The 15,074-nt window shown below is 37.7% G+C and overlaps 1 protein-coding gene and 1 pseudogene across 5 annotated transcripts in view, besides 3 other annotated features; both read left to right on the top strand.

Moving 5' to 3' along the window:
* Positions 1,471-2,010: an enhancer, noted in NCBI's record as "H3K27ac-H3K4me1 hESC enhancer chr7:11871962-11872501 (GRCh37/hg19 assembly coordinates)". NCBI's record gives its function as "activates a minimal SCP1, AML or CMV promoter by ChIP-STARR-seq in naive H9 embryonic stem cells {active_cell/tissue: H9 hESC(naive)}" and the evidence as "EXISTENCE:reporter gene assay evidence [ECO:0000049][PMID:30033119]".
* Positions 2,011-2,551: an enhancer, noted in NCBI's record as "H3K27ac-H3K4me1 hESC enhancer chr7:11871421-11871961 (GRCh37/hg19 assembly coordinates)". NCBI's record gives its function as "activates a minimal SCP1, AML or CMV promoter by ChIP-STARR-seq in naive H9 embryonic stem cells {active_cell/tissue: H9 hESC(naive)}" and the evidence as "EXISTENCE:reporter gene assay evidence [ECO:0000049][PMID:30033119]".
* Positions 2,148-15,074, top strand: part of THSD7A (thrombospondin type 1 domain containing 7A) — a 461,834-nt gene continuing 448,907 nt past the window's right edge. For all 5 annotated transcript variants that reach the window (XM_006715662.2, XM_006715660.2, XM_006715659.2 and 2 more), the window contains exon 1: positions 2,148-2,589. In XM_006715662.2, the coding sequence (XP_006715725.1) occupies positions 2,400-2,589 (190 nt within the window). In that variant the 5' untranslated portion in view covers positions 2,148-2,399. The remainder of the gene's footprint in view (positions 2,590-15,074) is intronic.
* Positions 4,109-4,403: a silencer, noted in NCBI's record as "tiled region #6026; HepG2 Repressive non-DNase unmatched - State 24:Quies". NCBI's record gives its function as "represses a minimal TATA promoter and a strong SV40 promoter by Sharpr-MPRA in HepG2 cells {active_cell/tissue: HepG2}" and the evidence as "EXISTENCE:reporter gene assay evidence [ECO:0000049][PMID:27701403]".
* THRAP3P3 (THRAP3 pseudogene 3) lies at positions 13,047-14,226 on the top strand (annotated as a pseudogene).

The raw sequence follows: 15,074 nt of genomic DNA, 5'->3' as shown, positions 1-15,074 counted from the left end.
CCCGTATAATGCTTGAATTTGTAGCTATGATGTTTACACTCTTGACAAGTTGAGTTATTATTATACCACCATGGGTAAATATAAAGGTCAGAATCTTAAAATTTCTTTTGACAATAAGCTATTAAGTATAGTGTCGGATGGCTTTTTGAAGGGCTAGGTAAATGACCTTGCACATTAACTTAATTCCTCAGACTCTCTGTCCTCTGTTATATAATGAATTCCCACTTGGTGAATTGATTGGCGCTTCCCACGAATGCGTAGAATGGCTGCTGTTAGCAGAGTATGTCCAGTTTGAAATACTTCCTGTGCCAGAGTTAGAGGATTTCAAGGTTTAGGGCACTAACAGTAGCTGAGAAATACAAGCAGAAAGGATGGGAAAATGATTCCTTGTGGAGTGGACATGGAAATTTTCCTGAAACGACAGAACCCAGGAAGCAATAGCAGGTCCCATTTCCTTCTGTGGTGTAACTGTCAAAAGAAGTGATCCTTCAGGGAACCATACATTAGTTAAGATCAGGCTTCCTTTTTATTCCTTATCAACCTATAATCTTTTGATTGTTGCCTGTTTTTCACGAGTGAAGAAATAGTAAGCCACACTAGCTTATCTCTCCTAATCACAGACTCACAGCGCTCGGGCTCTCTGAGCTTTTAATTCCTTCTTAGAGGCCTAACAGAGCGGAAAGTAAACAAAGACCAAATTTGCAACCTTCAACGTAGCTAATTTCCTCTGATGTCAGAATACTTAAACAGGCAGGACCTGGGAATTATTTGATCAAACCCGCTTTTAATCTAATGCATGCAGAGGGGCTGTGTCTGGAAGGCTTTGCAAAATGACAAGGGTCCCAAGGGAGCCTTATGGAAGGTTTCCTCTTTCAGAAAGAGTAGCTTCCTCATCTTAAACTCTAGGGTAGCTATGTTGGAGTAAATTCATAAAAAGTAGTTTTCCTGCTTTTAAAATTTTATTTTATTTGGCTGAAAATTGCTGATGGGATAGTAGTTTTCTTTGGCTTTCCGTTTGCTGAATTTTTAATGGTTAAATGCCTACTATTTTAGCTTTACTGTGAAATGAATTAATAATAAAATATATTATTATTAGCTAAAGGGAGAAGGAGAAAGGGGAAAGCATTATCCGACTTCACACACATTCTTCTATTACTACTGGTAGAAGAAAGTGAAAACACAAAGGACAAAAGATGCAAACACATGTGGTTCCTTATTTAGATTGCGACAGGCATTTTGCTACAGTAAGAGTTAAGAAAAATCGGTGTCAGGGAAATTTTAAATGAAGAATTTACTAATTCCAAGATATCCAGACAGCATTACTGACTCAGTTTGACTCACAACTATCTGAATACTTAGAAGTAGCATATTTTTGAGGGAAAGAAGTAGATGAAGGGACAGAACTCTATACCTGAAATATAATTTTAATTTTAAGGGTTTTTTTTTTGTACAATTGTATTTATGTAATTAGGTAGCATTGCAAATACTCATTAACACTAATTCAGTTTTAAAGGCTATTAAAAGACAATTTAATTTGTCACAGAGCATCAATATTGCTCATATTTTTATTGATAATAGATTAAGTTAAAAACAACATTTAAAGAAGGGTTTAAGTGCATTTTGACAAGTCAACATTTCTGCTCTCGTGTTTTCACACCTGATCTCAAATACTGCTCCCCACACAAAGTAATTCAGAAGCCATGGCTTAAAAATAGATAATAAACACTGATGCTTTGTGTAAATACGTACTAAGAATAGCATGCCACTAGATCTAGCATTTGACTCCTTGGATGACAGTGAATATCAATGCCTGTTATTTGTCATTCTGAAATCTGCCGGGTGATGATTCTTTTTATTGGTGCATCCTTCCAAACATATTTCATCGCACCATGTGCACCGGAGTTCTTTAGGCGGGTATGTCGGAGGTGGGTGTCGCCTGGCTGGCCCCTCTCCCCTTTGCTCGCCCCCTTTCTCGCCCTCGCGCTCTCGCCTCCCTCTGCCTCCAGCCCCCTCTGCTCCTTTGGGCTCACGCCCCCCTCCTCCCCCTCCAGCTGGCGGGGGCTGCGCTGCCTCCCAGACCTAGCAGACCTGCTCAGTCAGCTGGGGCCCCCTGAGGACAGTTGCCTCCGGAGCCGCCGGGACCTGCCATTCTGCGAGGAATGGCAGCGGCAGCAGCATCCCCGCCAGAGGCGGCGGCGGCGGCGGCAGCGGCCACGGCCACCACCGCGGACGCTATTGTTCCCTGGTGTTAGACGCGCTCTCCCTCCTTCTCATCTGAAGCGAACAATAGCAGGAAAGAGCTTTGCTTTCTGTACTCTTTGAAAAGACGTTCCAAGAGCGGAGAAAAATTCCCTGCCGAGCGTGCTACGGCTCTGGACCCTGGAGTGGCTGCAGGCGGCATGGGGCTGCAAGCCAGGCGCTGGGCGTCCGGGAGCCGGGGCGCTGCGGGGCCGCGCCGGGGCGTCCTGCAGCTGCTGCCGCTGCCGCTGCCGCTGCCGCTGCTCCTGCTGCTGCTGCTACGCCCGGGCGCCGGCAGGGCTGCGGCGCAGGGCGAGGCGGAGGCGCCCACCCTCTATCTGTGGAAGACTGGTAAGTGGGACGGAGTTACCCTTTCCCCATCTTCACATCTGGGGCCACATTAAGGAGCTGGTGGGCTTCTGTAGGGACCCCGGTGCTTTTGGATGGCTTGGTTATGCTGGTATCCTAAGGTAAAAAGTATGATTTCTTAGGAAGCAAATAGGTCATGTCCGATGCAATTAGGAAAGAAAAGCATAACAACTAAGAGGCAACAGTGAGTAGCTGGAATATTTCTCTCGCAGCTCTGTAATGAGGGCAACGCGCACTTCCATGATGAAGTGCATTATTTTTAACCCCTGGATTTTCATTCTACTAGGAGTTTCTCAAACAGATTTCTAGCAAAGAACAAGCAAAGAGTTTAGTCTCAGTCTTTATTCTTTAGGCAAAGCAATATGCTCACTGTCATGACATTTGTGGATATAGAGTTGAATTTGTTAACTTTAGCTTTGTGATATGTGGGACACCTCAGAAACAAGCCAAGTGAGGGCGGTTCCAACAATTAAAGGCAAATGGGGCTCCAGTGAGCCTTCAGGGAAAGACTGAAAACTCAATTATTAACTAGCGAGTCGGAGGATTTTTAAAGTGTACAACTTTTAGGATGTCTGGGTTCAAACTTTCTCTTCCTTCCTTGAGAATTGTTTTGCTTTGTTTTTCAACCACCCAACAAAAGCAGCTACTAACTGCCCATCATTACCCATTGGCAAAATGCTTGGAGTTTCTGGCGGGGGCCGTGACAGGCAGGAAAACAATACGGAGTGAGGAATTACCAACCCCTTTTCTGCGGGTTCGCTTTCTCTCTGCATTAAAAAAACATTGAGAATTCCTTAGGGGACCTGAAACTTCACATGTTCATAGGAATAAAATGGGAAAAGATTATTCCTGTTGCTTAGAGCTAGGGGGTAATTTAAGAATAACTTGGTCATGCCAAACATTAAGAGAATGTTGTAGTTGAAAGGGAAAGTATGTATTCGTCATGGGGTTGCAAACAGGTTTCAGGGAGTGAGTGTCTTTTCCTGCTTCAGCCCATCTCTGCACCACTACTGAAGAGACAGCTCAGTCTACTCTACAATTGCATCACTATCGATATCTGGAATTTTTAAAGAAGTTGCAGCTATCCAGAAATTTAGTGAGGAGATTAAACAGAAATTTATTTAAAGTCAAAGTACACAATTTGTCTTAGAAGATTACATGAAACATATACACATTTTAAAAAGCAAGATTATTCTTGCTAACACCTTAAGTTTGAAGATCAGTTGAGTAATGAATTCAAATGAAATAAAATTAATTTACTTCAATTTGAAACGAAGATTTGAAGATCTCTAATTTAGCGTAAGCTAGGGTTTTACTTGTTAAAAGCACATTCATAATGACAAACATTAATCAAATTATAATTTACCATTAAATGGTATCATATGGATGCTTGGGGAGAGCTTCTTAGGTAAGTCAGTGTAGGATGAAATAGTAGTTGCCTAGTTGAAATTTATACTAGCAAAGTAACAAGAGCCAAGCAATAATTCAGATGGAAAAGAGCCCAGCCAACATTCACTGTACAGCATCTGAGGTGTCAATATATGTCATCATAAATGTCATGGTAGGAACACAAGCCAATAAACAGTTTAAAATAGTGGGAAGCTCTCAGAAACAATGATATGGAGACCTTGATTCCAGTGCCAGTCCTAGCTCTTGCTAGCTGTAGGAATTTTGGCAGTTCACTTAAATTTTGACCCTTAGTTTTCTCAACTGCATGTAAATGTGATGACACCTTCTTCTGCCTATCTGCAGTGTGTGAAAATCACATGAGTTATGAGAAAGTGATTGGTAAACTTCAAAGCTGTATGCAAATGTAAGCTAGTGTGATGAGGATGTTAAAGATATTTCTTGACTGGTGATCCTTGGTTTGGTAAAAAAAAAAAATAGTTCATTCAATTGGAAAGCAAAATAATGACTTCTTTATTTTTTTTTTTTTACCAAAGGGAAAGGAGACTTTAATATATCTGTAAAGGAGTTGAACGTAGTTCTCAAAAGAACTAGAGAATATTTAAAGAAAAAAGATATACCATAAATGAAAATTTAGAAGTTACAGAATCACTATGTGTGTATCACTTGATGAAAATAAAGAGGCAAGAAGGGAATTGGAAGAGAAAAGAGGTGACATACTCCAAAATATCTGTTCCAATGGGGTAAGCTTGGTCTTGGTACAGAGGATTATAGAGAATCATATTAATGGTGAGATTATTGAATTAAAATGATGTAGTGAAAGTTGTTACACTGGATGAAGATCTGGGACAGGAACTCAAACTGTGTATGTTACTAACATGCTGTAGAACTTTGGTAAAGTCATTAATGACTTTGGTTCTTGGCTTCCTATTTTGTAATACTCATTAAATAGATAAAATGATATCTAAGGGCCTTTTTAACCCCTAAAGGGCTTCATATATATGAATGCATATGTCAGATACATATATTATAAATACACACATAAATACATATATACAACAAATAAGGGTATATAAAGTTGACCCTTGAACAATGCACAGATTAGGGGTCCTGACCTACATGCACAGTGGAAAATTTATGTATAACTTTTGACTTCCCCAAAACTTAACTACTAATAGCCAACTATTGATCAGAAGCCTTACAGATAACATGAACAGTCAATTAATACATATTTTATATATGTATTATATACTATATTGTTACAATAAAGTAAGCTAGAGACAAGGAAATGACATTTGGAAAATCACGAGGAAGAGACAATATATTTACTATTCATTAAATGGAACTGGATCATCATAAAGGTCTTTATCTTCATCGTCTTCACATTGAATAGGCTGAGGAGGAAGAGGAAGATAGATAAGGGGTTGGTTTTGTTGTTTGAGCAGTGGCAGAGGTGGAAGAAAATGCATGTAAGTTGAACTGCCCAAATCAAATCATGTTGTTCAAGAGCCAACTGTACACATGTGTGTATACATATAATATATACATGAATAATACTTATTACTTATACATTATATGTAATGTTAAATATCTATCTATCTATCTATCTATGTGCTTTATTAAGTCAACTCACAACAAAGAGTTTTTGAGGAGCTAAAATATGTAACCACTGTGGTAAAAGCTGAATGGGATACTGCCATCCCTGCCATTGAGAAGCTCACAATTAACTTTTTTAAAAAAATTCTTATTCAACTGATTACAGGCTTTAGGAGATACTCACAATTAAACAACACTATAAGTACACAATTACAACATGGCATACCATACACATGAACAGAACATTATAAGAACAAAGAAGTTATTTGGCTGATAAAGGAGGTGTGAAGGGTCGCAAAGATAATTTAATATATGATCTGGGTCTTGAAGGATGAGGTGGATTTTGACTGAGGAAGGAGTAGAAGGCCATTCTAAGCAGAGAGAAGGAAAAAAATAAAAGTGAAAAGGCACAGCAGCTTTCCTAGATCTTGAAAGTCCCAGTAGTACACAGCACCTCAAGCCCAGGATGTGGGATAGCAATGAAAAGATTTCATGCCAATCCAGTGAGTTAGGACCAGATTATCAATAAACTTTCAAACAATGGTAAGATATTGGACTTTAACTTATAAGTAGGTGGTAGCCACTGTAAACTTTGAGCAGAAGAGTGATATTTTGTTTGTCTAGAATGAAGAGAGATGAGTTTAGAAGCTGGAAGGCCAGTGACGTGAGTCGTTGACTGAGAGGCAAAGGGAAACAGAACTCCGACAATAGAAGTTATAGTGAAGAGTGAGTAGAAGAGGGCTTGAGGTCACACTGAAGCAATGTTAGCTTAGATTTAGGGTGCAGAAGACACAGTGCCTTCCAGGGAAAGTAGGAAAATGCCATCAAGGTTTTCATCATGCCTGTAGTCAGTAAAGGAGGTACAGGGTATGAAAAAAGGAAGAACAGATTGCTTAGTGTTGTGAAGAAGAATATCAATTTAATTCAGATATACTGAGCTTGAGGTAGCAATGACATATTTAGACCAATATATCTCATGGGAAAATTAGTGAATGGGTGACTCAGTTTAGGAGAAGGAGTTAGGCTGAAGATGTAAGCATGGAACTCAATAAATGTATATTTCAAGCCATGGGAGTGGGAGGGATCATTAAAGCAAAGAAAATATTGAAAAGAAGAGCCAGGATATTTCACAGAGAATATTGGGATATAAAGGGCCACAGTGGGAGAAGACCTAGAGAAACAGTCTAAGAAAGTATGGCCAGAAAAGGTACAAGGCAAATGACAAGATACACTAGATGAAGACGGTATTTTATAAAGGAGATTGTGGCAAAAAGTATTTTAAAAGTTTAGAAAGGCTAGGAAAGGAATTCTAAAATATTTTAGAAAATATCAAGTATGAGGACTTGGTAAGATAATTCACAGTGTTTTGGGAAACGACATTTTAGGTATAGAGGTAGAGATATAAACTTGATTGAATAAAAAACAACATGGTAGAAAAGATACAGTATCAATAAAGTTGAATAACTAAGTGGTATGTAAGTCTCTCTACTACAATGTTGTTGTTTTATGAGGAGGAAAAGCCCAGAATTTCAGATATTAAAAATTATTTATTAAAATATAAAAGTCTGTTGGGCATGGTGGCTCATACCTGTAATCCCACAGCTTTTTAGAGGTCAAGGTGGAAGGATTGCTTGAACCTAGGAGTTCAAGTTTACAGTCAACCATGACTACACCATTGTACTCCAGCCTGGGCGACAGAGCAAGATCCTGTCTCTAAAAATTAATTAAATAAATAAAATATAAAAGTTAAAATTTTCAGCACTTTTGTATCACAGTCATTTCAAAGTTAACTTATCTTTGTGTGAATAATTGGGAAGCATTTCATACACACAAGAGGCATAGCATTTATATTACTGAAAGATGAATAACTAATGTTACTAATAAGTGTTAATGGCATTTGCATTTTTTTTTTTTTTTTTTTTTGAGACAGAGGCTCACTCTTTTTGCCCAGGCTGGAGTACAGTGGCATGATCTTGGCTCACTGCAATCATTGCCTCCTGGATTCAAGCGATTCTCCTGCATCAGCCTCCTGAGTAGCTAGGGTTACAGGTGCCCGCCACCATACCCGGCTAATTTTTGTATTTTAAGCACAGACTGGGTTTCACCATGTTGGGCAGGCTGGTCTCAAACTCCTGACCTCAGGTGATCCACCCACCTTGGCCTCCCAAAGTTCTGGGATTACAGGGACATTTGCACTTTTTATTATTCTAGCATATGAGATTGTTTCTATAATAATTATTGTTAGTTATATTCACTTGGCAATTCCAAATTAAGAGTGTCAATGAATTGAGCAAAACGCGACTGACTTAGCATTAATCAGACAAAAAATGTTGAATACATAAACTTTTATCAACTTCTGTCATAGATATATTTTCAAAAATATCTTAATGAAGTAATTGAATTTATTTTTATAATGATGAAATTACACTGAATCCAAGAAACATGTACATAATAGCCATTATTTAGAATTGAGGTGATAGAGTATTTACAGGTATGCATTTTCTCTCAAGGAGAATACTCACATTAAACACTTTTGAACTGGATTCATCTAATGCAGGACATTACTATTACTGACAGTCAGTGTGTCCTTTACATAGTAATTGCATTAAAATTATGCCTTTGTTCTTCAACTTTAATAAAAACAATGTTATCTTTTTTTACTTTTGTGTACTTATGCTAATAGTACTTATTACTCTGCATATAAAATATTCTCCAATGTATATGCAAATATATCTATTTTAATTCTACCAATCTTTAAGTAACAAAGGAGAGAGGGATATCATTCCAGGTAGTCATAAAATGAGGTGGCATTATCCCAATACAAGTGTTTTAAACTTCAATTGTTCTTACAATTTACTTTTATTCAGAATGTCACACTGTTTTCTCACTTCAAGAATGAGAAGGATGGAATAGGGTAGACAGAGCATGAGCGTCAGCGTTAATCAATCTGGGGCATCATGGATGGAAAATACTCTATTCATGTTTCCTAAAAAGTTATTTTATCTCCCTGAATCTTTTTCTTTCATCTCCAATATGGATTAATGGGATGCATTCTATAGGGGTTTTCTGAGGTTTAAATGTGGTAATGCATGTAACGTACTAGGAGAGTGCCTGACACATATTAAAAGTTCAGTAAATGATAGTTTTTATTATTGCTATTGTTCTGTCAGATGGTACAAAAACTATTTAAGTTTATGACCTGGAGCAAGCCCAATAATGTGCATTAGCCTTCTCTTAAGCATCTTTTCTTTTCCAGTAAATGCACTAGAAAATACGAATTGATACAGTTAACCAGACTAGTAGATACTCCAAGTTATAAGGGAGACACCATTATAGAATGGAAAGAACACGGACTTTGAGATCAGACAAACCACTGTTTACATCTTACCTCTACCTGACTGGCTAAGTTAGATCAATTCTCTGGCTCTGTTTTTCACCTTAGAACAATGACAGAAGTTCTGATGTAAGAAGGCATTTATGAAGTTTTTCAACAGGTAATAAATAGAAAGTACGTACTACCGTGACCTAAATGCTGCAGACATTCAAAAACTGTTAGTTCTCTTACCATTCTTTACCAGTTATTCCCCTAAAAATGACATAAGTTGCAGAAATTTTACTGGTCTAACATACTTATTTGTTTTCTCCAACTAAAGGACAGCATGAAAGACAAAAAAAAATATATAGAAAAATTATTGTATTATAGACATATTTTTTATTAGTTTGGCACTTATGTGTAGACAGCACTTACCAAAGACTATAAAAATGTTTTGAGCACCAAATTTAGGGTTAATTATGTAAATAGAACTTTTTATACTTCATTTTATTATTGTATCTCAGGGTATTTCTCAAAAATTTGATATTTTACATTCTTGAAATTAACATTGTCACCTATCAATTCTCAATTAAATGCTGTCACTGGATAGTTGCTTGTATTTTATACATTGCTTTGTTTTTACTTGGTAAGTGATCATTTAAATACATTTTAAAAACCACTGCAGTTTGTGTCTTGTCTTTTTTTCTTTTGTAATTTATATAGCACCATCAGTGCTCAGAATTCATTAAAACTATATTGGTTGGTTGGATCAAAAAGTCAAATTCTCAGGGAATTGTATGAGGCTTTAACTGTTTCAGTGAAACTGGAGTAACTTAGGTCACTCCTTCTGAAAATTATACACAACTATCTGGTTTGTAAAATGATGGCAGCCCTCAATCATAGCTGAGATTAAGAGTACAATAGGATGGCACGTAATCTAGATTTTCTTCTGCCCATTATTACTGTATAGAGGACAGGCCTGATGGTGGGAGGAAGAGATTCTGAGTAGGTTATTGGTGAAGTGCGATTGTAGTTTGGGTCCTTTTAGGAGGAATACAAGTTTCTTGACCTCTGATATGAGTTAGAATGAGAATACTGGATAGTGGAGTTTCTTTGTGAAGAGAGTATTGGAAGTCCCTCAGTGTAGTGAATATATAGGACAGGATCCCTTAGAATTAATGTAAAGGCACATTAGACTGGCCCTTAATGAAGGAGGCACTGAGCATGTGGCACTTGAGAAAATATATCTTTCCTAATACAAGAGACAGTGCAGACTGTGAAGTAGAGGTGCCAGTGAGTCATAAGGTAGATATCTTTTCTAATTTTTTTCATCAGAACTTTACACTGATAGTTTAAAATGCATTCAAGTGATGACAGCATTAAATGTTGTCACAGTAGAATTGTTTCTGTTTTGTGCATTGTTCCATTTTTACTTCATAGGTGATCATTTGAATTATTTTTAAAAAACACTACTGTTTATATCTTGTCTGTCTTTCTTGGTGTACGTCGCACAGTTAGTTCTCAGAATTCATTTGTTACTTAGATCAAAAAATGAAATACCCAGGTGGTTTCCATGCATGTAGTTCCTATGTACCCAAACAGTAAAAAAGCTTATATTAATGGGAAGTGATAAAACAATTAAAAGCATTCATATATACCAATAATGATCTAGCTGAGAAAGAAATCAAGAAAATAATCCAATTTACAATAGCGGCAAAAATAAAATACTTATAAATGAATTTAACTAAAGACATGTATAATCTCTTCAAGGAAAACTACAAAACACTGATGAAAGAAATTGTCAATGACACAAACAAATGGAAAAACATCCCATGCTCATGAATGAGAAGAATTAATATTGTTACAATGACCGTTCTGCCCAAAGAAATCTACAGATTCAATGCAATCTCTATCAAAATACCAATGCCATGTTTCACAGAATTAGAAAAAAGAATCCTAAAATTCATATGGAGCCATAAAAAAGAACCCAAATAGCCAGAGCAATCCTAAGCAAAAAGAACAAACCTGGAGAGATCACATTACCCAATTTCAAATTATATTATGAGGCTATAGTAACCAAAACAGCATAGTACTAGTATAAAAATAGATGCATAGATCAATGGAATAGAATGGATTACCCAGAAATAAGGTCACATATTTTAAACCAACTGATCTTTGACAAAGCCAACAAGAACATATGTTGGAGAAAGAACTCTCCTTTCAATAAATGGTGCTGGGAAAATTGAACTTCCATATGCAGAAGAATGAAACTAGACCCCTATCTCTCATTACATACAAAAATCTACCCAAGAGGGATTAACATCTTAAGCATAAGACCCCTAACTATAAGAATACTAGAAGAAAACCTATGGAAAACTCTTCTGGACATTGGTCTGAGCAATCAGTTTATGACTGAGACCTCAAAGTCACAGGTAACAAAAACTAAAGTAGACAAATGAAACTTGATTAAACTGAAGACCTTCTGCACACCAAAAGAAATAATCAACAGAGTGAACAGACAACCTGCAGAATGGGAGAAAATATTTGCTAACTATTCATCCATCAGGAGACTAATATCTAGAGTATACTAGATATTGTAATATACTGTTTATGAGAATATATTGGAAGAACTTGAATAACTCAGTTTTTAAAAATCCCACTAAAAAGTGGGCAATGGACATGAATAGACATTTTTAAAAGAAGACATAGAAATGATTAACAGGTATATGGAAAAGTGCTCAATATCCACTACATGATTGGTGGGAATGTAAATTATTACAACCTCTATGGAAAACACTATGGAAATTTCTCAAAGAGCTAAAAATAGAACTGCCATTCAATCCATCAATCCAACTGCTGGGTATCTACCCAAAGGAAAAAAAAGTCAATATATCAAAAGACACCTATACTCATCTTAATCATAGTACTATTCACAATAGCAAAGATGTGGAATCAACCTAAGTGTCCATCAACAGAAGAATGGACAATGAAAATGTGTGGTGTATATGTATACAATATAATACTATTCAGCCATAAAAAGAATAAAATTATGTGTTTGGCAGCAATGTGGATAGAACTAGAGGTCTTTAACTTAAGTGAAACCAGCTAGGCACAGAAAGTCAAATATCACATATTCTGATTCATAAGTGGTGGTAAAAAATTTGTACACATAGATGTAGAGAATGGAATGATAGACAAAGGAGATTTGGGAAGGTTAGGAGGGGAGAGGAGGATGGATGATGAGAAATTACCTAATGGGTGCAATGTGCGTTAGTTGGATTTTGGATATCCTAGAAGTCCTAACTTGATCACTATGCAACCTATGCATGTAACAAAATTGCGCATGTACCCTATAAATTTGTACAAATAATAGCATATTGGGAAAGGGTGAGGGAAACTAGGTAATACTTGGAGCAATGATACCAAAAAGTAACCTATCTATTGTTTCTGATGCATAATTGGACCTAGCCAAAAAGATGCCATTGCATCCTCCAGAAAAGCTGTTGAGCTAGTTGTTATTTTACAGTTTAGTATGTGAAATCATAACCTTTGGGGTATTGTTTTCTATTATGCCCATATTATTATATCAAAGTTATGCTATGGGAAAAGAAATGAAATAAGGGCAGATGGAGAAAAAGCACAAATGTGTTCCCTTATATGAACAATAATTTTCAAATGTCACATGCAGTAGGGTAATTTTGTAGGAGGTTCCAAGTCACAGGGGACGTCAGAGAGAGATGGTCCACATAGAAGGAGTCACATTAGTAGATTCAGGAAAAGCTATGCAAGACTGATAAAACTTGGGGAAAAAGTGAGATATTTTAAGAGAGAAAAACAGCACAGAGAAAACAGAAATCAAGCAAATTATCTGCATTCTTTTAAAATTATTATTTTTTTTCTTTTGAGGTGAACACTTCAAAGTTTATTTACATGTTCTGTTTTCTCTTTTAAGAATCCAAGTTTCCCAAATTAAATGTTTCTAATATTACTATATATGCCTAAAAAAATAAAAGAAAAAAAAAGGGCTTTTAAAATCAGGGCAAGGGAGAAGAGATAAAAAGTCATCAAATTAGTCCTCTTAGCTCCAAATGAAATGAAATTAAGAACAAAACTGTTGGTTTCCAATAGGAGTTTCGTTCCATTTTCCAGCACATACAGTCAGCTCAGTCTCAGCGTAGACCCTCAGAACTGTTAGCCCAACATATAGTGACCATTGTTCACCATGTTAAAGAGCATCACTTTGGGTCCTCAGGAATGACATTACATAAACACTTTACTAAATACCTAAATAGAGGAACTGAGCAAGAGGCAGCCAAAAACAAGTTACAGGACAATAGACATTTCCCGCAGTACTTTCATAAAACATGGTTTGGCTCGTGATGAAATGAAAAGTCCCAGAAAACCTGGCTACAAGGCTGAGGGAAAATACAGAGATGATCCTGTTGATCTCCGCCTTGATATTGAACGTCATAAAAAACATAAGGAGAGAGATCTTCAGCGAGGTAAATCTAGAGAATCAGTGAATTCCCGAGACTCCAGCCACTCGAGGGAAAGGTCAGCTGAGAAAACAGAAAACTTATAAAGGATCAAAGAAGCAGAAGAAGCACCGGAGAGCGAGAGGCACGTCCAGATCCTCCTCCTCTTCCTCCCGGTCATCTCACTCCTACAAAGCAGAAGAGTACACTGAAGAGACAGAGAAAAGAGAGGAGAGCTCCACGGGCTTTGAGACATCGAGACTGGGGACTAAAGTCTTTGTGGGTCCAAGTGAAAGAGGAGGTGGCAGAGCGCTCGAGGAAACTTTCAATTTCAAGCCAGAGGAAGAGGCCAGGACAGAGGCAACTACTCTGGGAACAATAACAAGAGTAACAATGATTTTCAAAAAAGAAACCGGTAAGAGGAGTGGGACCTAGATTACACACCCAAAAGCAAGAAGTATTACTTGCATGATGACCTCCGGGTCAGGGCCGGTTCATGTTCTGGAAATCAAGCACCAGCCCCAAGTGGGCCCATGACAAGTTCAGTGGGGAGGAATGGGAGATTGAAGACGACAAGAGTGGGACAGAGAACAGAGAAGAGAAGGACAATTTACAGCCCACAACCGAGTAGGGTCCACTCTTTACGGAATTCCTTGCCCAGGGGAGAGAGGTGCTGGAAAGATGGCTGGCGAGGAGCTAAACAGAGGAACCTCAAGAAGATTCTGAAAAATCCTACCCCCACCCCTCACCAGCCATGCAGATTGTACTACCGCGGGAGGCATCCCTGGCGCTGCCTTCCACTGGACAGAGGAGGCTGGCGGTGGAGCCCGGGGGTCAGGCCCAGCTCTTGAGCGGAACACAACGCATTGGGCTTTAGCTGTTTTTCTCATCTGTTACTGGTGTGTGGGGTGGGGGCAGGGGTAGGGTGGGAGAGCGATGCTTGGATTAAAATGATTTTATTTTTAATAGACTTTTTGGTGCAGTGTTAGACTTACAGAAAGTTAAGCAGAAAGTACAGAGTTGCCTTATGTTCCCATTCTCCCACTATTTTCTTCTACTATCAGAATCTTGCGCTAGTGTGGTACATTTGTTACGATTGATGAACCAATATTACTACATTATTATTAACCAACGTCCATGGTTTACATTAGGATTCACTCTTTGGATTGCACATTCTAAGGATTTTTAACAGATATGTAGAGATATTTATCCACCATTACCATATTATATAGAATAGGTTTACTACCCGGAAAATTCCCTGTGCTCCTTCTATTTCTCCCTTCCTCCTCCCAAATCCCTAGCAAAGACATATCTTTTTACTGTCTCCATATTTGTGCTTTTTGGAGAACGTTATATAGTTGGAATCATACCGTATGTAGCCTTTTCAGTTGGGCATCTTTCACTAGCAGTAAGTGTTTAAGTTTTCTACATGCCTTTTCGTGGCTTGACAGCTCATTTCTTTTGAGCGCTGAACAATATTCCATCCTTTGGCTATACTACAGTTTGTTTATTCACTTACCTATTTAAAGGCATCTTGGTTGCTTCCAAGTTTGGGCAGTTATGAATATTCATGTGCATATTTTTGTGTGGATGTAAGTTTTTAGTTCATTTGCGTAAATACCAAGGAGCATGCTGCTGGATCATATGGCAAGAATATATTTAGCTTTATAAGAAAC

Source organism: Homo sapiens, chromosome 7 (assembly GCF_000001405.40).
Source record: "Homo sapiens chromosome 7, GRCh38.p14 Primary Assembly".
In the NCBI taxonomy this organism is placed as follows: domain Eukaryota; kingdom Metazoa; phylum Chordata; class Mammalia; order Primates; family Hominidae; genus Homo; species Homo sapiens.
The sequence above is the reverse complement of the archived record's forward strand: the minus strand, read 5'-3'. Positions and strand labels throughout refer to the sequence as shown.